The 24,021-nt window shown below is 40.0% G+C and overlaps 1 protein-coding gene and 1 long non-coding RNA gene across 34 annotated transcripts in view, besides 5 other annotated features; one reads left to right on the top strand and one right to left on the bottom strand.

Moving 5' to 3' along the window:
- Positions 4,740–5,439: an enhancer, noted in NCBI's record as "OCT4-NANOG hESC enhancer chr12:39845559-39846258 (GRCh37/hg19 assembly coordinates)". NCBI's record gives its function as "activates a minimal SCP1, AML or CMV promoter by ChIP-STARR-seq in naive H9 embryonic stem cells {active_cell/tissue: H9 hESC(naive)}" and the evidence as "EXISTENCE:reporter gene assay evidence [ECO:0000049][PMID:30033119]".
- LOC124902919 (uncharacterized) lies at positions 8,427–10,040 on the bottom strand. Its single transcript, XR_007063278.1, has 2 exons — positions 9,694–10,040; positions 8,427–9,360 (listed from the first exon to the last, which is right to left on the bottom strand). It is a non-coding gene; the product is annotated as an uncharacterized LOC124902919 (long non-coding RNA).
- Positions 13,406–13,465: an enhancer, noted in NCBI's record as "active region_6201". NCBI's record gives its function as "activates an Ori minimal core promoter by ATAC-STARR-seq in GM12878 lymphoblastoid cells {active_cell/tissue: GM12878}" and the evidence as "EXISTENCE:reporter gene assay evidence [ECO:0000049][PMID:35858748]".
- Positions 13,546–14,445: a silencer, noted in NCBI's record as "silent region_4348". NCBI's record gives its function as "represses an Ori minimal core promoter by ATAC-STARR-seq in GM12878 lymphoblastoid cells {active_cell/tissue: GM12878}" and the evidence as "EXISTENCE:reporter gene assay evidence [ECO:0000049][PMID:35858748]".
- Positions 13,747–14,247: an enhancer, noted in NCBI's record as "H3K27ac hESC enhancer chr12:39836751-39837251 (GRCh37/hg19 assembly coordinates)". NCBI's record gives its function as "activates a minimal SCP1, AML or CMV promoter by ChIP-STARR-seq in naive H9 embryonic stem cells {active_cell/tissue: H9 hESC(naive)}" and the evidence as "EXISTENCE:reporter gene assay evidence [ECO:0000049][PMID:30033119]".
- Positions 14,076–24,021, top strand: part of KIF21A (kinesin family member 21A) — a 149,893-nt gene continuing 139,947 nt past the window's right edge. For all 33 annotated transcript variants that reach the window (XM_047429133.1, XM_047429128.1, XM_047429123.1 and 30 more), the window contains exon 1: positions 14,076–14,269. In XM_047429133.1, coding sequence (XP_047285089.1) covers positions 14,226–14,269 — 44 coding nt within the window. In that variant the 5' untranslated portion in view covers positions 14,076–14,225. The remainder of the gene's footprint in view (positions 14,270–24,021) is intronic.
- Positions 15,066–15,135: an enhancer, noted in NCBI's record as "active region_6200". NCBI's record gives its function as "activates an Ori minimal core promoter by ATAC-STARR-seq in GM12878 lymphoblastoid cells {active_cell/tissue: GM12878}" and the evidence as "EXISTENCE:reporter gene assay evidence [ECO:0000049][PMID:35858748]".

Raw genomic sequence — 24,021 nt, 5'->3', positions numbered from 1 at the left:
CATTCATGTCTGTAATCCCAGCACTTAGGGAGGATGAGGTGGGAGGATTGTTTGAGGCCCGGAGTTTGAGACCAGCCTGGGCATCATAGGGAGACCCAGCACCCCCATCCCCCCCGTCCCTCCCTCCCTCCTTCCCTTCCTCCCTTCTCCCTTCCTTCATCTTCCTCTGTCACCCAAGCTGGAGTGCAGTGGCCCAATCTCTGTTCATTGCAGCCTTAGCTCCCAGGATCAAGCCATCTTCTCACCTCAGCCCGCAGAGTAGCTGGGACTACAGGCATGTACCACCACACGCAACCATTTTTTTGTTTGTTTGTTTGGAGAGACAGGGTTTTGCCATGTTGCCCAGGCTGATCTCGAACTCCTGAGCCTAAGCAATCCACCTGTCTTAACCTCCCAAAGTACTGGGACTACAAGCATGAGCCACTGCACCTAGCCAATACAAAAAATTTTCAAAAAATTAACTGGACATGGTGGGGTGCACATGTAGTCCCAACTACATAGGAGGTTGGGGAGGGAAAATTGCTTGAGCCCAAGTATTTGAGGCTGCTATGAGCTGTAACTATGCCACTGCATTCCACATTCCACCCTGGGTGACAGAGTGAGACCCTGTCTTTAAAACAAAAAAAAATAATAAATTAATGTACACACCTACACTTGTGTGTGTATGTGTGTGTGTATACACAGTCATGTGTCACTTAATGATGGGGATACATTCTAAAAAATGCATCTTCAGGTGACTTTGTCATTGTACAAACATTATAGCATGTACTTACACAAACCTAGACCATACAGCCTACTACACATCTAGGTTGTGTAGTGTAGCTTATTGCTCCTAGGCTACAAACTTATATAGCATGTTACTATACTGAATGCTGTAGGCAACTGTAACAAAATGGTAAGCATTTGTGTATCTAAACACATCTAAACATAGAAAATATACAGTAAAAAATATGGTATAAAAAATAAAAAATGGTACACTTGTGTAGGGCACTTACCATGAATGGAGCTTGCAGGACTATAAGTGAGTTGCTCTGGGTGAGTCAGTGGGTGGTGAGGGAATGTGAAGGCCTAGGACATTACTGCACAATACTGTAGACTTTATAAACATTGTATGCTTAGGCCACCGTAAATAAAAATTTTTCTTCAGTAAATTAACGTTAGCTTATTGTAACTTTTAACCTTATGTTTTAATTTTTTAGAACTTTTTGACTCTTTTGTAATAGCATTTAGCTTAAACCACAAACACATTGTACAGCCATACAAAAATATTTTTCTTTCTTTATGTTTTTATTTGAGCAGCTTTCTATTCTTAAATATTTATTTCTTACTTTTAAGCTTTTTGTTTAAATAGAAATATGAATGGCTGGTAACCCCCATATAGACTGAATTTGAGCTATGGGAGAAAATGTAAAAAGGAAAAGAAAGAGAACTTTGGACAAGACCTGGGAGTTTCAAAATTTAGAAACTGGGAAGGGAAGACCTACAAAGAAGTCCAAGATATAGTTATCTAAATTGGTGGTCTAAAACTAGAGAGTTTCTTGGGAAAATCAAGCACAGTCAACAGTTTTCTGTTTTTGTTTTTTTGAGACAGAGTCTTGCTCTGTCACACAGGCTGGAGTGCAGTGGCACAATCTTGGCTCACTGCAACCTTCACCTCCCGGGTTCAAGTGATTCTTCTGCCTCAGCCTCGGGTGTACCTGGGATTAGAGGCGCACACCACCACATCTGGCTAATTTTTGTATTTTTAGTAGAGATTGGGTTTCACCATGTTGACCAGGCTGGTCTTGAACTCCTGGCCTCAAGTGATCTGCCCGCCTTGGCCTCCCAAAGTGCTGGGATTACAGGTGTGAGCCACTGCGCCAGGCCACAGTCAACTTCTAATAGCTATTTGTACTTCAAAGACAATGTTGCTAGAAGAGGGATTTTCAGGTCATCCATAAAGATTTGATACTGAGTATCAAATGATATGCATTGTATTTGGAATTGTAAGTACAATGTATCAGGCATGGTATCTACTTTAAAAGTTTACAATCTAGCACAGAAGCCATGTTTAAACAAATAAATTTAAAATAAATTAATACTTTAATTATGCCCATATACAGTGTGAGTATCCAAAAGGTGTCCTTGGTCTAGCATAAGTGCAAGAGAGGAGTCTAACAATACTTTCAAGATTGTGTAGAATTTGCCCAAAGAAATAAGGGGTAGAATGGAGACAAGCCGATGAAAGTAGTTTTAAATATGGGATCGTTTATGCGCTAAAACACTTAAATTGATTTAGTAATTTACAAATGGAAATGGAATTTAGACTGATCCCTTTTGTACATTCATTAGTGAGCTTTCTGAAATTGTGAACTGTCTCCTTGCCTTCCTACCACCAATTCTTAGCTCCTTGGGCACCTGGCTTTTCTTTTTCTTCTTCTTTTTTTTTTTTTTTTTTTTTTTTGAGACAAGAGCCTCGCTCTGTCACCCAGGCTGGAGTGCAGTAGTGCAATCTTGGCTCACTGCAACCTCTGCCTCCTGGGTTCAAGCTATTCTCCTGCCTCAGCCTCCTGAGTAGCTGGGACTACAGGCACGTGCCACTATGCCCAGCTAATAATTTTTTTGCATTTTTAGTAGAGACGGGGTTTCACCATGTTGGCCAGGCTGGTCTCGATCTCCTGACCTAGTGATCTGCCTGCCTTGGCCTCCCAAAGTGTTGGGATTTCAGGCATGAGCCACCACACCTGGCCAGACACCTGGCTTTTCTTTCCCCTGTCCTATTCAAACTACTCTCTCACAGTTATAATTAGCTTTGCTGATGTGATAGATCCGTTGATTCCTTCCCTGTCTTCATTCCTTTGGGTTCGTCTAGTGCCTTGATGCTCTTGTTCTGCCTTTATTTTTGTCATGTTACTTCCAACCCAAGTGTTCTTTCTACCATACACTTTCTGTTTCCTATCAGATGAGCTTTCCTTTCTTCCCGCTCAACTTGCCTGTTTCTGCTAATGATATCATTATTCTCTCAATTGCCTAGATTTAGGAATATTTTTTAAAACCACTCATAAATTCGTAATCTCCGATTGGCAGGACTTCAAGAGGCCCTTTAGTTCACATTTCCCCCTCATCCTTCCTAGTTGATGCTTTCATCTTTTTGATGATATCTTCAGGGAGTGTTTTTCTAGCCTATGACTGAACATTTTAAATGGCAGGGAGTTTAATACCTTAACCTCCTATTATTCTTCTCCTGTGTTGCTAATTCCTGTTCATTTTTCCTTTTAGAATGTCTTTCATTTATAAGTTCTACTTCTCCATTTTTACCATATTCACTATTAAGATGCCTAGTTCAGGCCGAGTGTGGTGGCTCATTTCTGTAATCCCAGGACTTTAGGAGACGGAGGAGGGCAGATCACTTGAGGTCAGGAGTTTGAGACCAGCCTGGCCAACGTGGCGAAACCCCATCTCTATTAAAAATACAAAAATTACCTGGGTGTGGTGGAGCGCACCTGTAATCCCAGCTATTTGGGAGGCTGAGGCAGGAGAATTGCTTGAACCCAGGAGGTGAAGGTTGCAGTGAGCCGAGACTGTGCCACTGCACTTCAGTCTGGGAGACAGAGTGAGACTCCATCTCAAAAAACAAAGAAAAGAAAAGAAAAGAAAAAGCCTAGTTCAGGCCTTACCATGTCATAACTAAAAAAGTATGACAGTATGACCTGGTGACCTGACTGAGTGTCCCCAGTACATCTCATAGACTTAGACCAGATTCATAATCCTTTTTAAAATCTTATTTTACTTTGCACATTTAAAAAATCCTGCCTTTATCTTATCACTCTTCCACTCACAAAGTTTAAAGCATTTCCTGTATTTTCTATTAAATTCCTGTACTATCCTGTACTATGAACACTGTACCTACACCCCTGACTTCTCATTGACATAAAAAAAAACACCTTTTTGTTGTTGTGGTGGTGGTGGTGGTGCGTGCATAAGCAAGTGTGTTCAGGTGCTGCCATGATCTTGTTGTTAATTTATTGTCCATCAACATCTTACTGTGTCCATATCTTTTTTTAATCCCTATTGTTAACATCACATTTAGAAACAAGTCCTTTAAAGAGTCATTTGGGCCAAAAAGGCAGTTTAACAACAATTTTTCTATCAGAAATGGTTTTTCACTTTGCACTACTGCAAAAATTAGAGGAGTAGCTTAGCATTATAAAATCAGTACAAATGTCATCAGTTTCTCTTGTCTGGGAAGGCTTCCTTGGTAGAGCCTACTGTGAAATAACTGGTCTCAGAACCAATCAAGGAGATTAAAGCAGAGTTTTACTTTAATTTAGGTAAAGCATCTTAGAAAGGTAACATGCATATTTTTGCTTAAAAAGCATCAATTCTACCAAATGGGCATCTGCATAGGGAATACTTAGGTATCTAGATGTTAGTGCTTTGTTACTCTACTGTAGCTTAAAAAAAAATTTTTTTTTTGAGGGGAGGTAAATCTAAGCACATGTTCAGTGAAGTTAGTGAAATATATATTATCCCCAACTTAAAAAGACAACTTTGTATTTTTAATTGATAGAGGTTTATGGAAAGAGAATATGGATGAAAAATTCAGGGCTTTATTAATCTTTTGGCTTAGGGTGTCCAGAACCATGAGAATTTGAAAAGTATCCATGTGGTGGTAACAAGAAAAGAAAATGGTTAGGAAAAAAAAAAAAAAGGCTGGAACTCCAATCAACAGATGGAGGAAAAGAATGGTGGTATTGATGAATAAATAAAAGATGAGGGGGTGGTAAATGGTGAAATGTTCTCTCTTAAAAATGGCTAATAAAATTATCTTTCAGTGATTGAGTTCTATAATACTCTAAAATAAAATTTAAAAAAACACACACACACAAAGAATGAGGTTCTAATGAATGACTATCCCAAACTGCCTATCAAGTTTGGTCCTGCACAGTTAGGAAAAAACATACTCCTCTTACAAATTTGGCTAGAGATTTTGGCTCAGAACCAGCATGACTTAATAGCTGTAATTTGCATTTGAATGCAATTAACTGGGCCAGTACTTTGAGGGTAATCAAGCTGTCTGCAATATGCATATGCTGCAAACTCAACAAATGTCCAAAGCACTGGAGGGGAGGCTTTATTCTTTGAATTTCCCTTATGCAGGGAACTCAGGTCCAGGTCCTTAAATTCAGTTAGATTTCAAACTCTGATCTTAAATGTGAACGATGAAATCTAAATTTTATCTAATTCTTTATTCTTAATGAATAAAAGTTGAGCTTCTTGTCTTTTTTTTCTTAGAATTTCACTGCTTTTCAGAAGTGATTTATATCATTTAAAAAATTTCAACTAGTATGAAAAGATACAAAGAAGGAAAATAAATTTCCTCAAACCCTTACTTCGCACCCAGAAATAACTCACACCCTATTCAAAATAAATAAAAATAAAAAGAGAAAATATGCATATAGTTAAAAGTTTGATTTTTCAGTAATGTTATGAGTCATTAAAATGAGTTTATAAAATGTTAAACTGCTTTTATTATAAGATAAATTACTACTATTAGAATTTAAGATCATCTCATTATTTCAGCACATATTCTTCACATGCAAACACTTGTTGTAGTGCAGGCTGAGATTTTTTCCTAAGTCCCAAAACTACAATGATAGTGAAAATAACAGTGAAGGACAAAGAGCTCAGAAAAGGGAGTCAAGATACCTGAATTTTAATTTATCTCTACCATTAACTTACAGTGGTGGTGGTGGTGGTGGTGTGTGTGTTGGGAAGTAGGTGGAACTGGTGTGATGGTGAATTCTCCTCTTCACAAAATTAATAAACTTCCTAACCTGCAAAATTAGTAGGATGGAGTAGAATTGTAAAATATCTTTTATCTCCAAAATTACAGCAGCATTGCTTACATTTGCTGGTTTACAGAAACTCAAGTGGTGCTCTACTTTTCTTCCTGAGTGTTTGAAAGCCACCTTTATCAGACATTATGGTCTGGAAATAGTCTATCTGAGAACTATAACCAGTAGGCAGCAGATTATCTACACTGAAAACTTGCTTTATGTGGAAACCAAAGCATAGCATGCCCTTCTGCTGGTAATCACCAATTTATTTATTCAACAAGTAAGTATTGGCTGCCCTTCTGGGTTTTCCACAAATACTGCCTTTTAGGAATTTGCAGTCTAGTTGAGTCAGAAAGTGATCATTACCACAACTAAAACATAAGCAAGATGCAATGGAGATTTGGCAGAAGGAAAAGATACATTTGGTCCAGGAGAGGAGTAAACTCAGGAAAAGGCTGAAGAAAGAGGTGGTTTTGAATTGGGCTTGAAATGTAGATAACATTTTATCAGAGATTATTGGGAAGGCTTCTAGTTCCTCTTACGTAAAATGGAAATAAAAATCCTACCAATGCTGGGTGCAGAGGCTCCCATCTGTAATCCTAGCACTTCGGGAGGTGAAGGCAGGCAGAATGTTTGAGCCCAGGAGTTTGAGACCAGCCTGGGCAACATGGCAAGACCCGGCTCTAAAAAACCTTAAAAAATTAGCTGGGCATGGTGGTGCACACCTGTGATCCCAGCTACTAGGAGGCTGAGGTGGGAGGCTCTCCGAATCTGGGATGTTGAGGCTGCAGTGAGCTGTGATCGTGCCACTGGACTCTAGTCTGGGCGATAAAGCCAGAACCTGTCATAAATAAATAAATAAATAAATAAATAAATAAATAAATAAATGTACCCACCTTCTAGGCTGTTGAGAGAATTAAGTGAAATAACACTTGCTGGACTTAACTCCATGCACTGGCATGATGAAAGAGCCCTATGCGTGTAAATACTTTTCATTATTAGTGGGGAAAATGTACACACACACACACACACACACACACCCACTCATAAATAATCACTGAAGGAAAACTGATATTTCTGATGGTGGCATTAAGGGTTAGCTTTCTAAAGATTTTTCCAAAAATATTTCTGAAGGGATGGTTGTCTAGGCATGCTTTTCCAAAGCCAGCTGTTTGCATACAAAATTATAATCAGATCTTTTTCTTTTCATCTTTTTTCTAGCAGCCAAAAGGAAGAGTCAAATAACGTTTAATGACTGATTAGAATGTGGAAACTAGAAAACACAGGGTAGATGGCCTAGAGGGAGAAAACCAGTGAGATAGTTACACTAATGCATGCTGTAACTTCTTTTTGGCTGCCTCTTTTTGGCTGCCTTACAGTAGGTGCTGTAATGAATCTTTCTTCCAAATGTACCTTAGACAGGTGCAGCTGCAGCATCAGTACCTGCTTTAAAAACAATGTATTTATAAAAATATTTATTTATTTATTTATTTATTTATTTTAAGATGGAATTTTGCTCTTGTTGCCCAGGCAGGAGTGCAATGGCGTGATCTCAGCTCACTGCAACCCCTGCCTCCCAGGTTCAAGCAGTCCTCCTGCCTCAGCCTCCCAAGTAGCTGGGATTATAGGCATGCGCCTCCATGCCCGGCTATTTTTTGTATTTTTAGTAGAGATGGGGTTTCTCCATGTTGGTCAGGCTGGTCTCAAACTCCCGACCTCAAGTGATCCACCTGCCTTGGCCTCCCAAACTGCAGGGATTATAGGCATGAGCCACCGCACTGGGCAAAAATAATTATTATAAAATTAGTTTTGATGTGCACTTACTGGGAGCTGGTGCTGTGATTTACATATGATAAGCAAAGCTCTTTAAACCCCTAAACAACTCAATAAGCTTGGAAGTACATTACTTACTTATAAAAAACTGAGACTAGAAAGGGCTCATATTTGTCCAAAGACATATAGTCATTCAGCTAATATTTAATAACCCCTAATATGTGTCAGACATTAAATTACATGTCAGACTGTTGAGGGAACTACAGAAATATCTGTGAATAAAGCAGAAATGTTCTCTGCTATCTTGGATCTCATATTCAAATTCAGGGAGGCAGACAATAAACAAAAAATAAGACAATATCAGCTAGTGATAAGGGCTACGAAGAAATAAAATACTGATATGATAGTTCATAACTGAGTGTACAGGGTCAGAGATCAGTACAGTTACACAGAGCCTTCTGTTCAGAAGGGCCACACTCTTGGTTTAATAATATTCTGCTGTCATTGTCTTGAAATTCTTAATTTTATCTTCTGACTTGTGTTTTATAAGTGTGGTTTGATAAGGCACTGTGACATATGAATAAGCAGAAGACATATGTAGAACATGTATGTCCTCTGTTCCTTGCCATGCCATTCTTATGTAGCATTTGTGATCTCTCATGAGCATGGAATTCCAGTTGAATCACCACCCTGGAGAATTCAGTGAGATTCAAAGCCAGTGTGAGATAAATGTTCTATGTCTTCCACGGAGGAAGCAGGAATGCTGATATGTTTAGAAGCCATGCTTCTCTCAAACCAGAACTTGCTTCTGATGAAAGAAAAACTTCAGCCGAATTAAATTTAAAGGAGTTTAATTGGGCATTGAACAATTTGCGAATCGAGCAGCCCCCAGAATCACAGCAGATTAATAGAGACTCCAGGGGTGCCTCGTGTTCAGAACAAATTTATAGACAAAAAAGGTAAAGTGATGTACAGGGATCGGAAGTGAGGTACAGAAACAGTGAAATGGGTTACTACTCGGTGTTTGCCTTATTTGAATGCAGTTTGCACATTCTGCAGTCTATGAGTGGTTGAAGTATGGCTGCTGGGATTGGCCAACACTCAGCTATTATTACAGGTACATGCTACCAAGTTAGGTTTTCAATTTTGTCTATTAAGCTAGGTTACAGTTCATCCACAAGGACTCAAATATAGAAGTACAGAGTCCTTCTCAGGCCATAGTTTACTTTAACACTTCCAATGCAAAAAGAAGGCAATGACATTCTGAAAGATGACCAAAGAACCCAGTCTTATTCTTTTCTTCTTTCATTAATTCTTGTAGCAGCCAGCCATTAACTCCAAAAGTGATGATGTAATGTATTAGTCCCTTATTATGCTGCTATCAAGAAATACCAAAGACTGGGTAGTTTACAAAGGAAAGAGGTTTGACTCACAGGTTTGCATGGTTGGTGAGGCCTCAGGAAACTTAAAATCATGGTGGAAGGCACCTCATCACAGGGTAGCAAGAGAGAGAATGAGTGCCAAGTGAAGGGATAAGCCCCTTACAGAACCATCAGATCTCATGAGAACTCACTCACTATCAGAACAGCATGGTGGAAACTGCCCCTGCAATTCAACTATCTCCACCTGGTCCTGTCCTTTGATGCATGGGGATTATCACAAACAAGGTGAGATTTGGGTGGGCACACAGAGCCAAACCATGTCAGTAAAAGGAAAGGTAAAGACGGGACAGAGTAGTTTCCTTTCTTTTCAGTTCTTCCTTATTAATCTGTAAGTCAAAGGTAGGAAATGTTATTAGCATATGTGTGTATGAAATAAAAACAGTTGAGTTAGTTTTGTGCAGTGTTTCTACTGTTAAGAATAAAATGCATGTATGAATTATGAAATAAGTTGTATAATTTTTATAATCCCATGTAAGAGTTAAATGCTCTTCTGTTGATACTTAAAACCAGCATTGTACACTATAAAGATGAATGGAGAAAGTCATGGAAATATCTAAAACTTTAACTTTTCTTTCTGGAGAATGACATTAAATAGCAAATAAAAAACACCGTGACACAAGAGAGCTTAAAGGAAGGGGAAAAACTTTCTATTTTCGTACCTTTCATATCATTTTTATCTTCCTTTTCTTACAAGATCCCTCACATCTTCATTTTGTACCGGGTTGTGCAAATCAGGTAGCTGGTCTTTGTGGGGGTGCTATTTTAGACTGGGTGATCAAGAGAGGCCTCTTTGAGAAGACAGCATTTAAACTGATAACCTAGAAATTAAAAAAAAAAAAGCCAACGATGGGAAGGTCTGGGGAAAGAACATTCCAGGGAGAGGGTATAGCTAGTGCAAAGACCCTCAGGCAGGAAAGAACTTTATGAGTTCCAGAAATAGAAAGAAAACCAGTCTCACCAAAAAGTAGTTGTTAAGGTATAGAGTGGCAAAAGGTGAGGTCAGAGTTGGGGCAGGGACAGTGTGTGAAGGTCTTAAAGTGTAGAATAATTTATTCTATTTGTGTTAGTAGCCATTGGAAGGTTTCAGGCAGAGAAATGACATAAATGACTTATGTTTAAAAGGACATTATTCTGGCCAGGCACAGTGTCTCACACCTGTAATCACAGCACTTTGAGAGGCCAAGGCAGGCGGATCACCTGAGGTCAGGAGTTCGAGACCAGCCTGACCAACATGGCGAAACCTCGTCTCTACTAAAAATACAAAAATTAGCCAGGCATGGTGGTGGGTGCCTGTAATCTCAGCTACTCAGGAGGCTGACGCAGGAGAATCATTTGGACGCAGGAGAATCATTTGAACCCAGGAGGCAGAGGTTGCAGTGAGCCAAGATTGCCCCACTGTATTTCAGCCTGGGCAACAGTGAGACTCTGTCTCAAGAAAAAAAAAAAAACCAACAAAAACATTATTCCTGCAATATGAAGGCAAGAGTGGACTCAGGGAGACCATCCTGTGCAGTTTATATCTGAAGAATTCCTTACCCGTCCAGGTAAAATTCATCGTATTTCTCTCGTAATTTCTGTTATTCCATTTAGTATTTTCAAACATATCTTCCTGTGCTAGACAGTAAACTCCTTGTAAGCACTGACATTGTCTTATTCTTCTCTAAATCACTGTTGTCCCTCACTTTGTTTGCATATAATCACTTAAAATATTTATTGAGTCAATGATTGGAATAAGACTTAAACCACTCTTGCAGTAAAAGCTCTTCCCTTGGAACTTTCTTGAAATTAAGAAATTAAGATTATTTAGAGGAGTCATGGCCAGGCGCGGTCACTCACGCCTGTAATCCCAGCACTTTGGGAGGCCGAGGCGGGTGGATCACGAGGTCAAGAGATCGAGACCATCCTGGCCAACATGGTGAAACCCCGTCTCTACTAAAAATACAAAAAGTTAAGCCAGGCGTGGTAGCAGGTGCCTGTAGTCCCAGCTACTCGGGAGGCTGAGGCAGGAGAATGGCGTGAACCCAGGAGGCAGAGCTTTCAGTGAGCCGAGTTGGTGCCACTGCACTCCAGCCTGGGCGAAAGAGTGAGACTCCAGAGCGAGACTCCAGAGCGAGACTCCATCTCAGAAAAAAAAAAAAAAAAGAGGAGTCATAAGGAAAGGTGTTATAGCAGCTGTAAATGAATTGGAACTAAATACAAAATAGTATGTTAATTTTACAACTTTAGAAATTTGGGGAAAAATTACTGACTAGGTCATTAATGAGAATTTGAATTTCTACACTGCCTCTTCCTGAAACCATGTGCAATATGAACCCAAAGCCACAGCTGTTATTGGTGCTAATATTTTGTCCAGAAGTTCCAGCCTGGTGTCTTGGGACTAAAGTTGGCCTGAGACATATTTTGTCTGGTTTGCAGCATATGTAAATATTGTGCTGAATTAGTCGTTGGTGTTTAAAACTAAGGAGTTTTTTCATAAAGATCTGTTTTTCTCTTTTTCTTGAGAAGCAACATACATACAAGAAATAAAAATCTTGGCAGCATTGGATTTGCATTTCATCAAGGCAATATTCAGCCAGAGCTGAGGATGGCCACCACCTTTGGAAGGGGCCTGTGTCTCTATTTTATGATAGTCCTCACCTTTATCATAGTATTCATCTTGCTCTGCTCTTTTGAGCTACCTGCCTGGCTCCTGTAGGCATTTGTGTTTGTGACTCCCCTTACTGAGACATATATGTATACTATTGTTATTTAAAATGAGAACTTTTTTTGGCCAGGTGAGGTAGCTCATGCCTGTAATCCCAGCACTTTGGGAGGCTGAGGTGGGCGGATCACTTGAGGTCAGGAGTTTGAGACCAGCCTGGTAAACATGGTGAAATCCCATCTCTACTAAAAATACAAAAATTACCTGGATGTGTTGGCACATGCCTGAAATCCCAGCTACTCCGGAGGCTGAGGCACGAGAATCCCTTGAACCCCGGAGGAGGATGTCGATGTCGCAGTGAGCTGAGATCACACCATTGCATTCCAGCCTGGATGACAGAGCGAGACACTGTCTCAAAAAATAAAATAGGCTGGGTGTGGTGGCTCATGCCTGTAATCCCAGCACTTTGGGAGGCCGAGGCGGGTGGATCACAAGGTCAGGAGTTCAAGACCAGCCTGGCCAATACGGTGAAACTCTGTCTCTACTAAAAATACAAAAATTAGCTGGGCATGGTGGCACACGCCTGTAGTCCCAGCTACTCAGGAGGCTGAGGCAGAAGAATCGCTTGAACCCGGGAGGCAGAGGTTACAGTGAGCCGAGATCACGCCACTGCACTCCAGCCTGGTGACAGAGCAAGACTTTGTCTCAAAATAAAATAAAATAAAAAAGAACTTTTTTTAAAAAGAGGGTCTTAATTATACAAATTTCTCTTTAGTTTTCTTGTTAAATGTGCTGGGCCATTCTTGCTTTCCTTGCAGCTTTCATCAACAAAAGAAGCAAGGTGGCCAGCCCAGATCCACCCAGATATGGGCTTGCCAGGGCAGGGTGAAATGCAGCTCTGATTTGTTGATGGATAAATTTTGAGGCTAGGAAAGGCCCTCCAAAGAGTAGCCAGAGGAGAGCTTTCCCACCAATTTGATCTATAGAAGGATACTCAGCATCTCTGCCCTCTTTACCTCCCAGTTACATGTCTGTTAAGATTTAGGGGTAGTGAGATTAAGGGACAGAATAAATTTAAAACTATCTATAATTATATACCCCATCGGCCTTCCCATGGGTTTAAATCATCAAACACTTCTTGTTTTTCCCATAGTGTTGCAGCCTTCTCTGAGCCACACTGCTGTATCACTGCTGAACAAGATGATTAGGTATGTGATTGTAGATTGCAGGCATTTGAGGTAGTGCCTTTATTTGGATAGTGCCATTTAATTTGTGATACTATTTCGTATGAAGCCACATGTTTGTTTATAGAGATGTATGGAGCAGTCCACAAAAGATACTCTGTGGCAAAGCTAATAAAGGCTGTTTCCACAGAGCTATCTGAAGGCATGTGGAAGCACAATAGTGACAAACAGAAACCACAATGGGTCAATGTTGAGAGAATCCTGGGATTGGGAGGTGCTTTTTAAAGGCCAGAAGGGAAAGAAAATCAGTTTGGAAGGATTTACTACACAGCAGGTCTTGGTGGATATATTCAGTTCTGGGAACACTTGGCAGTACCAGGGTGCAGTTCATTTACCAGTGTACAAATGATTGAACAGAAAAGCATTCAGGAGTCTCGAATAAATCATTTCCATATCCCACCCGAGCTGGTAAACGGGCGATGAACTGTAGAACAGCCCAGCTGTCCAGAGACAGTGGACAAACCTGGGAGTCCGTTTAGCATGAATGACTGACTCCGGGGAGGGAGGAGGGAGGGCGTTCAGCTGGGGGCTAGGGAAGGGGGTCAAAGTCCAAGCTGCAGAGAGGACAATAAGGCTATGCGTGGGACACAAAGCCGAACCGCAGCAGCAGCTGCCTGGCTCCCGGCGCGCCGCTGAATCAAGCTTCGATTTGAGAAGGGACCTGGCAGCAGCGCGTGCACTAGCTGCTTCCTTCTCCCAGAAGAGCCTGGAAGGGCGCACAGGCTGGTCGCCCTCGGGCGAGGGCAGCCGGCGGCAGGCATCCCTCCCCCTCGCCTCCCTGCCCAGCAGCGCCAGGCAGTGTCCCGACGAGGGCAGGGCGGGGCGCAGGCTGGGGGAGGGCGAGGTGGGGCTGAGCCGCGCGGCGGCGGCTGACGCAGTGCGGGGCGAGGAGCCCGGAGCGCCCTGGCGGGCGTGGAGTCCCCAGCCTGGCCGCTGGGAGGCCGCGTCCCCACCGGAGGGGGCAGGGCGCACTCACCCGGCCGCCCTGAGGCCGCTGGCGGCCTGTTGGCTTCTCCACAGGCGCGCTCGCCGTTCAAGCGCGCTTTGTCCCCGCCCCAGATCCTGGGGGGTGAGCGGTGGAGAAGGGGCGGGCGCCCGCGAGCCGTGAATCACCTCCTCCTCTTGCTGCCTCAGCGCCGCCGCCACCTTTCCATTCAGTCGCCCAACATGGCTGGAGCGCGGCGGAGGTGAGCCGGCCGCCCGCCCGCAGACGCCCCAGCCTACTGCGCCCGAGTCCCGCGGCCCCAGTGGCGCCTCAGCTCTGCGGTGCCGAGGCCCAACGGCTCGATCGCTGCCCGCCGCCAGCATGTTGGGCGCCCCGGACGAGAGCTCCGTGCGGGTGGCTGTCAGGTGAGGACAGTCTGCCGGCGGCGGGCGGCGGGCGGCGGGTTGAGGGCGCGGCAAGGACCTGGCTGTGGCGCGGAGCACCGGCTACCGGGGTGGAGCGACCTGAGGGGCGTCCCGGCCGGGTTCTGCGGCTGAGGAAACTGAGGCAGTGAGTCCCCGCTGGCCTGGCACGCGCGGCCGGGTGCTGGCAGGGCGACTGCGCCGCCCTCACGCCGTCTGTGTTTGCAGGTGGCTGGCGGCTGCGCGGCGCCGGGTCCCTGGGGGGCGTCTTGACTTCTCTGGGGGAAAAGCCCTCGTCACTCCCCTCCGTCCCCTCGCGGGATCAGTCACCTCAGGTCTGGCCGCCTTGGGCTATCGCCTGTCCGGGAGGAGCTGCCTGTGCGCGGGGCTGTGGTGTTCTTTTTTATTAGTTCTAGAATGTCTGTCATACGTGTCCATGCAGCTCCGGCCTTCCCAGGCAGGAGACAAAGCATCTGACTATCAGCGCCGGCGACCGCAGGGCCCGCCGCGCGCCCACTCGGGTTCTGATGTCTGTGCAAATGAGACATCTTTTTCAGCATCACGGGGATCTAGACATGCCCCCGCGTGTGGGTAGAGGAGACAGATCTAGCCTCTTGGGTGTTGGAATGGGAGTGGAATTTAAGGTAAAATCCACTGGGGAGAGGTCTACAGAAGGAGGAAAACTCTTTAGCCAGAGGAAGGGTGAAATGGGTGACTGTGTGAAACATACTGACATTAGGCAGGGTGGATACAATGTAATCGTAACGTTACCCAGGCCAGGGTGTGAGTCTGGAAATACTAGGTACATCCTAGTATTGAAATTATATTTCGGCCAATGACAGGCACGAGTATTCGATGTAATTTCGGCTGTTTTGATACTTATCAAGAAGGAAAGCTCTGATAGTTGCTCATGGAAAATTGCAACATCATCACACTGTGTGAAAAATTAATGAAGCATTCATCCTAGAGTAAGTGCGTGGCTTTCACAGCTCTGAGAGTCTACTGTTAATTCACTTCTCCTTATTTATGCTTTAAGGATTATAAAAATAATCTACACTCCAAGGAATTAGGAACTATTAACAATCTCCCAGTCTTGTAGTCTTTCCAGAAAATTATTCTAAAAATTCTCCCCTCTAAACATTTCTATAGTTACTATTTTAGTGACACATCTTGGGTCAGGCATAGTAATGGCTGTTTCGTATACTTTGTATCTTTAATTAACTTAAATAATAAAATGAGTTTTTAAGTGTTTTTTTTTTTTTTTTTTTTACCACCCAGGGAGGTGACAGTTTTATGACTGGTTAGAATCACCTGTTATAAGGCTTTTGAAGTTTTAATTAGGCCTTCTTCGTTATTCTAGGGCTACTTATCCAATTGTTAGATTAGTCTGTTTCTCCTATTCACTGCTACTACCTCTCTTTTGGCCCTTTAATACCAGTTAATGACTGCACCAGGGTGGAGAAAGGGGAAGGAAAAAGACAGAAAACCCAATAAGAGGCAATTTTGTTAGGAGATCTGATCAAGGAAAGTGAAGAAGGTGCATAAAATATTACTGAAAACAGACAATTTGTCTGTTTTTAGACGTTTGAGATTTTTATATGTGAATTCTCTAGACTATCACAAGGCAGTTTGTTGACCATTCTGTTAAATCCGATGCTTCTTTGCCTGTAGAGCCATGGATGACCCTAAAGTGATGCTGACTGATAAATAACTTGTATTTTGTTTTGGTGTGTATGTTAGGACTTTTTAGGTGAATGAATGTGGGTTTGATTTTTGGGGAAAGGCTTTATAAAAACTTCAACATAACTTAGTAAGCCATATTGTAAAGATTCAATTTGTTGAATTCAGGATTCCTTCCTTCCTTCCTTCTTTCCTTTCTCTTTCTCTCTTCTTTCCTTTCTTCTTTCTTTTTTTTGAGATAGGGTTTTGCTGTGTCACCCAGGCTAGAGTGTCGTGGTGCCATCATAGCTCACTGCAGCCTCAACCTCATGGGCTCAAGCAATCCTCTAATCTCAGCCTGCTGAGTAGCTGAGATCACAGGCATGTGCCACACTGCTTGGCTAATTTTTATACATTTTTGTAGATATGGGGCCTCCCTATGTTTCCCAGAGTGGTCTTGTACTCCTGGGCTCAAGCCGTCCCTCCCAAATTGCTGGGATTACAGGCATTAGCCACTGCGCCTGGATAAATCGGGGATTTCTTTCATTAAATACATTGTTCTCTGAACAGAGCTACCTTGTAAACTTACTTTATATAGGATAAAAATAGCTTATACTCATATAGCACTTTAGTATTTATAAAGTGTTTGGACTTATATTGTTCATTTATAACCATTATTTATTGAAGATATATACCCGTCTCTGTTATCCTGATTTCTGGGCTAAAAGTAGTGATAATTGTTTGACTTATACTGTGTGCCGGGATTAGTGCTGTGTTAAGATGTTTTATCTCATGTAAAGTCTTATTTATTCCTCATAACAATCTGTGACTTAGGTCCTGTTATTATGGCCATTTACAGATGAGGCACAGAAAGATTAAGTAAACCATCCAAAGTTAAATTGGTAACAAATGAGAGAGCCAGGGTTCCAACCCAGATAGCTTGACTCAGTAGCCCAAGTTCTTAACCATTAACCCTGCGGAAGTGAGAGGCAAGAACATGGCTTTGCAAAGTTTCACTTAGCTTTGGGTCAGTTGCCTGTTCTTGATTTTGTATTAGTTCATTTACAAATGAGTGGCTTTCACAGGTTATTCATATTTTGATATTGCTAGAAAAGATAGAACTAAGACAGGACCTGAACTTACTAAAATATTTCCTCAAATTATTTAATCTTTCCAGCTTCCTGTTACCCTACCCTTCAGTTTGAGAAGGGTTCCTCAGCAGAATAAATAAATCAATACAAAATCGTGTGTCTATATACAAAATCAAAAGCATTTGACCTGCTTTTTTTCCTTTAATGAATAATATAATTGTGGAAATGCATCCTAGAGGTGCTTATGTTTTATTAGAGGTTTATTAGTATGTTAAAGCTGATGACTCTATTGTAGATTTCTCAAGATAAGGAAATGGGTCATTTAAGGCTTTGGGAGAAAGATGTTAAACAGAAAGATTCTCATTTAGGGAGAACAATTTTTATTCAATTTCCAAAAATACCTTTTTACAGTATATTTGAGATGTTCTGTGGGGTTTCTTTCAGTGAGATAGATATGGATTTGGATAACAGCCCTTGCTATCCAACCCCATGTGGCTATTAAGCGCTTGAATTATGATTAATGCTAATGAGGAACTAAATTTTTAATTTAATTTAAATGAGTTAAAATTTAAATTTAAAAACTGGTCCTTCATCCAGTTATCATAAACTTTTAAGTATGTTTTGAACAACTTGGATCTACTTTTTCAGCTGTAAAGTTTTGAAATCGAAGTAGTGATACAAGTATTTCTGATGAAAATTTAGTGTACGTATTGACTAGAACTGTAAGTGTAATAGATATACATTGGCTTTCAAAGGCTTACTCTGAAGAAACGAATGTAAATATTTCAATTCTTATATTGACTGTATGTTGAAATGATAATACTTTGCTTACATTGAGTTAAATAAAATATAATTAAAATTAACTTTCACATTGTATGTGTCCATTGGATACCACTGCACTATAACTTAAAAATGTGAGGAATACATTTAGAATAAAACTTTTCACAGACACCCCATCATGGACTAATCACATCCTTCGATTAAGAAAATACTAAAATATTGGGTATCTGGTTTTAGAGTGGATATGCATGTACGCACACAAGTATATATATACATGTAAGATGTAAGATGTGATTCAACAGCAACACTTTTTTTCCTCTGAGTGCATGGGTGTAGGAAGGTATGGATTTTGACTCAATAATCAGGTAGCTGTTTTCCTAGGAAATGTGGTAAGTTGAATGGATGGCTTAGATAGATGTCGCCAACAAAAATGAACAATAAAGTACAATGTAGAATCTATTCTTATTATCTAAGTATACTGAATTGAACCAAACAGTTAACTCAAAAAGATAAAGTCAAACATTTCACATTCTAAATCTAATACATTATGAGAGGATGTGTTCCTTTCTCTTCCTTATCTCTTCTGACACGATAACTTTGAAATGTTTTTCCTTTCCAAGAACTTTAGTTTGCAAAATATGTCAAGAGTTTGGTGAAAATGGGAGATACAGAAAGGACCTTTGTGTTTTTATGTTATTCTCTGTATATAGAAACTAAAATTTCCTTGCCTGGCTTTATCAGAGAACTGTACCTATCCTTGACAGTGAGTTTGGATTAGTGTGTAATGTGGTCTAATTTATGTTTCAGTTTGCTAGGTTTTCACCTTACCAAAGCAATTTAAGGAGTGGCATTGCTCAGCAGGCTTAGGGGCTATTTGGACATTCAGAAGCTCAGTTTTAGGTCTTTCACTGGCACTTATTTGCAATGTGAGCTCACTATACTTTTCTTTTTCCCAATGCTGGTTTGTCAACCTAAAGATATTAAGAGTTGTAAGAACTTTTCATGTGCAGTCTGTTAAATATGATTTTAGTTGTTGTTAGTCAAACTGCAGGCACTAATGATGCCTCTATATTAACTGGAAGGAACTATTTTAATATTTCAAACTTGACTTTCCTAATAATATAATTTCTTTAGGTATCCTTATTACTGAAGAATAAACATGTAGGCTGTAATGGTCTCTTTGTCCCATTCTGGTTATAATACAAATGAATAATATTTTATTGGCTCTACATTAAAATCCTATCAGATAGCCTGGGCAGCTATTATTATCTCTGTTTTACAGAGGAGAAAAATGTGTCTCAAGGTTTATTCACCACTAAGTAACAGAATTGGAACTCAAACTCAGGTTTCTGATATCTATTGCTGTGCTCTGAAACATACTTCCAAATGTTTTAAAAAATTTTACTTAATAATTTCAATGTAATAAGGATCTTTTAAGTTGAAACTCTAGATATACATGTGAGGTAAATTATTCGAAACAGTTTAATGTTCAAAAAATATGGAAGCAAATGAGTAAGACCTCTGAGAAACATTTATTTTATGGAAATAGATGGTTATTTGGTGTTTGGTTATTTATTCCTTTCATCCTTAATACAACAAATCTTTAAGTGCCTATTACATGCCAGACACTTTCCTACCACAACACACGTGACGTATGTTGTCCTTGCTTTCATGGAGCTTAGATCTAGCAGTACAATGCTTTTTAAACACACGAAATATGTGGGAATGAACACACAACAGAATCAATAGCACATACCAGAAATGAAAGATAATTGTTAGATTTGAGTTTTTGTTTCTCTCTTATTTTTCTCAATGACGTTTTTTAGTTCATACATTTCTCACAGACAATGATACAAAATGCCAATGCATTAGGAGGATATTCCTTATATCATGCCCTACTTATATGTCTTTGTATTTGGATGAGGAGTAATGGAAATGAAAGAGAGTAGACTGAAAAGCCAGCAGATAATGCAAGTAGAAAGTCAATGAAATAATTTCATTTACAAAATGTGGGTTGATAGTCATTCTTCAGATATGGTTTATTAAGTAGTGGACCTGTTTGTTATTTGGGACTCAATGGAACTTCAGGTTTCAGGTCTAATTATTACTACCCCTTGAGCTCTTGCCATCTTACCTGCTAATTGGTTAATATTTTGATGCCTAATTATGGGGTAGTGAATGATGCACTAGAAATTCCAGTTTAGTGAAACCATGAAAGCAGAAATGATCGTAGCAGTTAATACTATAATATGCCCAATCTTCCAATTCTCATCAATTTCTCCTCAAATAAATTGACTTGGAATATGCATTGTTTTAAGTGTTTTTCCCCAAGACATGTTACAGCTCAAAGATGAGTCTCGGACTTATAAATAGTTGCTTTCTGTCAAAATCACATGTGGCCTGACATAATCTGAGTTTCAGATTAGGAAGAAAAACATATCAATAAAAATGCATGGCAGATGATAGTATTTGTTTGCTGTATATCATTAGAACAATTTTATTCAAAATAAAACAAAGTTGTTGTTATTTTCACTGCTTCTCTTTGGAAAGGGGATTTGTGGATTCAACTTGGTTTCCCAATGGATTAACTATTTAATCTTCTCAGAGTGTTAAAATAGTTTTCCCGTGGCTCAGGCATTATTTGAAGCAAATGACAGCCAAGCCAAAGGGACAGTTTTCATGATACCATACAATTATTATGAGATCTTTCTGAAGGTTTAAGAATAATTTTTGAGGTTACCTTGTTCTTTTTTTTTTTTTTTTGCAATTATTAAAAATGTTTAAAGCTGGCGTTGTGGTGTGTGTCTGTAGTCCGTGCCACTTGGGAGGCTGAGGTGGGAAGATCGCTTGGGGCTAGAAATTCAAGGCTGCAGTGTGCTGTGATCACTCCTGTGAATAGCCACAGCACTCCAGCCTGGGTAACATGAAACCCTGTCTAAAAAAAAAAAAAATATATATATATATATATATATATATAATATAGTAAACCCTTATAATTATTGACGAGATAGATTTTAAAGTTGAAAGGGATCTTGAAAGGATTAATTGGTTGAGGCCCCTTCTTCGAGATAGTTGAGGTGTTAGAGGCCCAGAAAAGTTAAAAGGAATTGATTGAGGTCACATGACTAGTAGCTCAAGTCTTCTTGATTAGTGCTGTGGATTTTCTAGGACTTCGTGTTTTGCTAACATACATCGAAGAAATAATTTTTATATTAAAATAACCTACAATTTTAATCCCTTAAGCATTCCTTATATAATTTTAGTTTGACATTTAGATAAGGTCGCTCACTGTCAACCCATTATTTTGACTTTAGAAGCACCTCAGTAGTAGGAACTTGATCAGTGATTCTAACAAAGATCTCTCAGAAGTAAAGGGAGAGGAACCGCAGGGGTAGAAACCCAGGTCTAAATTTTGAGGTTTCTGGTATATTAAAATATAAAGAAATGCCAGAACTGAGTTATAAAAAAATGTAGACTGTTTTTAACATTTGCAAGTAGCACATTAATGCTTTCACAACAACCACAGAAATAAAATTCGTATGTAGTCTAATTTGAAAATAATTTTAAACATGTAAATAGAAATTCTTTAGTGAATTCCAGGCCTGAGACATGTGGCTTCCCTGCTTCCTCCCACTTTGGTTCTTAATACTTTACTCCAACAGACTAAAGGATTATGGCACATTGCAGTAATAACAACCTCACTAAACGGAAGGTGGCTGGAGTGTGGGGTGGGGGTGGGGTGGAGTGAGGCGTATTTTTTGGCATCTGGAATGGAAGATGGAGGCAGAAATCTGAGTGGTTTAGAAAGACCTCCTTTTGAGTGTTACTTCACTAATTAGGTGGTTCTTAACCAGACCCATTTCAGAAGGAAATACAGAGTACATTTTGATTGTAATGGAGGCCTGTCACCCCAAAAGCATCCTAAATCCCACATCTACACAAAGCTTTTCTAGACTGATGTCATGCAGAAAAATTTCTGCCATTTGGGGTCTTAGACCTGCCATATATGATTCTTCTTTCTCTCCCTCTGAAATTCCAGTAGGAAATGGCTTGAAATGTTCAAAACCTCAAAGAATATTTAAGCACTATTACAATAGAACATTTGAAGGACATTGGATTATTGACTTGAGACAAGTAGATATCTGAGTTCCCAGACTGTAATAAAGGTCATTCAGGATTTAACCCCAGGGTCAATCTACTTGGGCACATCCATCTGCTTCTTCAGTAAGAGGAAAGAACCAAGAAAAATGTTCAAACTTAGTTATGGAATGGACCCACCCAGAGGCTAAAAACATCAAGGACAGCTCAAGGTTTATTCCCCATGTTTTGGGTATCTTAGTGTGTAGTAAGATGTTACCTTTTGAGACTGGATTTGAATTATTCTCAACTTTGGAGAGTTGTGTCTGTCACGTAGGCCTGATAATATCATAGATCTCTCAATATGATGAAGGAATTACATTTTTTTCAGAATAGATATCCACATTATTTGATACAACTACTAAGTCAGCTAGGAGTTGTTCTAAATAAGTCTTTTATCTTTCAGCAAGTGGGAACAAGAGACCTTGGAGAGTCAAGCTGTAGTTTATTATGATGTGGCATATTGATCACATGGTACTAATGAGGCACAGGGCATCTCTAGCCTCAATTGTATTCCTTCTTATTTACTTTTTTGGATCAAAATTCATTCATATAATATATAATTAATGAGTGTTCATTGTGTACTGGAATCACATAAGCTGGAGGCATTAAAGTAATTGAAGGCAATGTGCTATAATAAAATGAGCATTGCATGGTTAGAAAACTGTTTTGGTTTAGACTCTTACCCCTGATAAATTTGGTTTTCCCTCAGTAATTCTCCCCTGGATTTGAGAAAGGATCACGAGACAACCATGTGAAAGCACTTGAAAAATGGTTTTTATACAAACATAGGTAGTAATATTATTAGATAAAGTTGGTATAACCAACTGTTATGGTTTGAATGTGTCCCTCCGAAAGATCATGTGTCGGAAACTAATCCCCTATGCAACAATGTTGGGAAGTGGAGCCTAAGAAGTGATTAGTTCATGAGGGCTCTGCCCTCATTAATGGATTAATGTCATTATTGAGGGAGTAGTTTCATTTTCTTGAGAGTGGCTTTGTTATAAAAGAGTTTAGTCCCCTCTTGTTCTCTTGTGCATGCTCTCTTTCCTTCTGCCTTCCGCCTTAGGATGAGGCAGCAAGAAAGACCGTGCCAGATGCAGGCCTGCAGGCCTCTTGACCTTGGAGTTCCCAGCCTCTAGAACTGTAAGAAATACATCTCTGTTCATTATAAATAACCCAGTCTGTGGTATTTTGTTATAGCACCACAAAATGGACTAGGACACCAACGATGGGCATGTTGATTATATTCCAAACTCTAGCAATTGGATTAGTTATTCTTTGATGTACAACCTATAACTTGAATTTGTAAAGTGCTTTAAAGATGTCTGTATCTGGTATCTGTTCTTTTGCTTTTTGAGTATCTCTTACTTACACCACTATAAGTGATATAACAGTATATATAAATACTTCCAAGATCCTTATTCTATCTAGTCTCCCCGTTTTCTTTTGCTTTCAATATATAAATTACATGCCATACTGCTCTACTCTATCAAATTCATCCTTTTATAGTTTATTAGAATTCACTATTTTTATTCTTTCTTTTTCCACAAAGCCTTTTAATTAGTACAGTTCTTCGTGTTTGTAAAGTTACTAGCATATACTTTGTGAGATTAACAGTAGTTTTGAGTTATACTTTTTACTAGTTGCTCAACCTAATGTAAGAGAATGGTAACTAAAGTGGATAGTAAAAATGTGAATTTTCCTTCTGAATTAGGTTGCACCAGATTTTTGGAAATATTGCTAATGCTTTCCTTTTGCTTCCTTTCATCAACCTTGGCAAGAAGTATTACACTAGGCTGTGGATTAAAGAGCACTGTAAGGGGTAAACTGAGTAAAAGGAGCAGAAGTAATAATATAAAAATTTTAATTATACATTAACTTTTTTGATAAATTTTTTTTTTTCTGGGACCTGGAGCTACTGGGGCAATGTGCCTGCAATACTCATTAATAGAACTTATATAAAGACTTGCCTGAAGGCATTTTAGAACAAGACTGATATTTAGAACCAGAAAGTATATCTTGTAAGCTTGTCTGAAAGTATATCTTGTAAGCCTGTCTAATGATCTCAAAATCAGTTTATAATTC

The sequence above is a fragment of the Homo sapiens genome, chromosome 12 (assembly GCF_000001405.40).
Source record: "Homo sapiens chromosome 12, GRCh38.p14 Primary Assembly".
NCBI lineage: Eukaryota > Metazoa > Chordata > Mammalia > Primates > Hominidae > Homo > Homo sapiens.
Note: the sequence above shows the minus strand (reverse complement) of the source record. Positions and strands in the feature narration are given on the sequence as shown.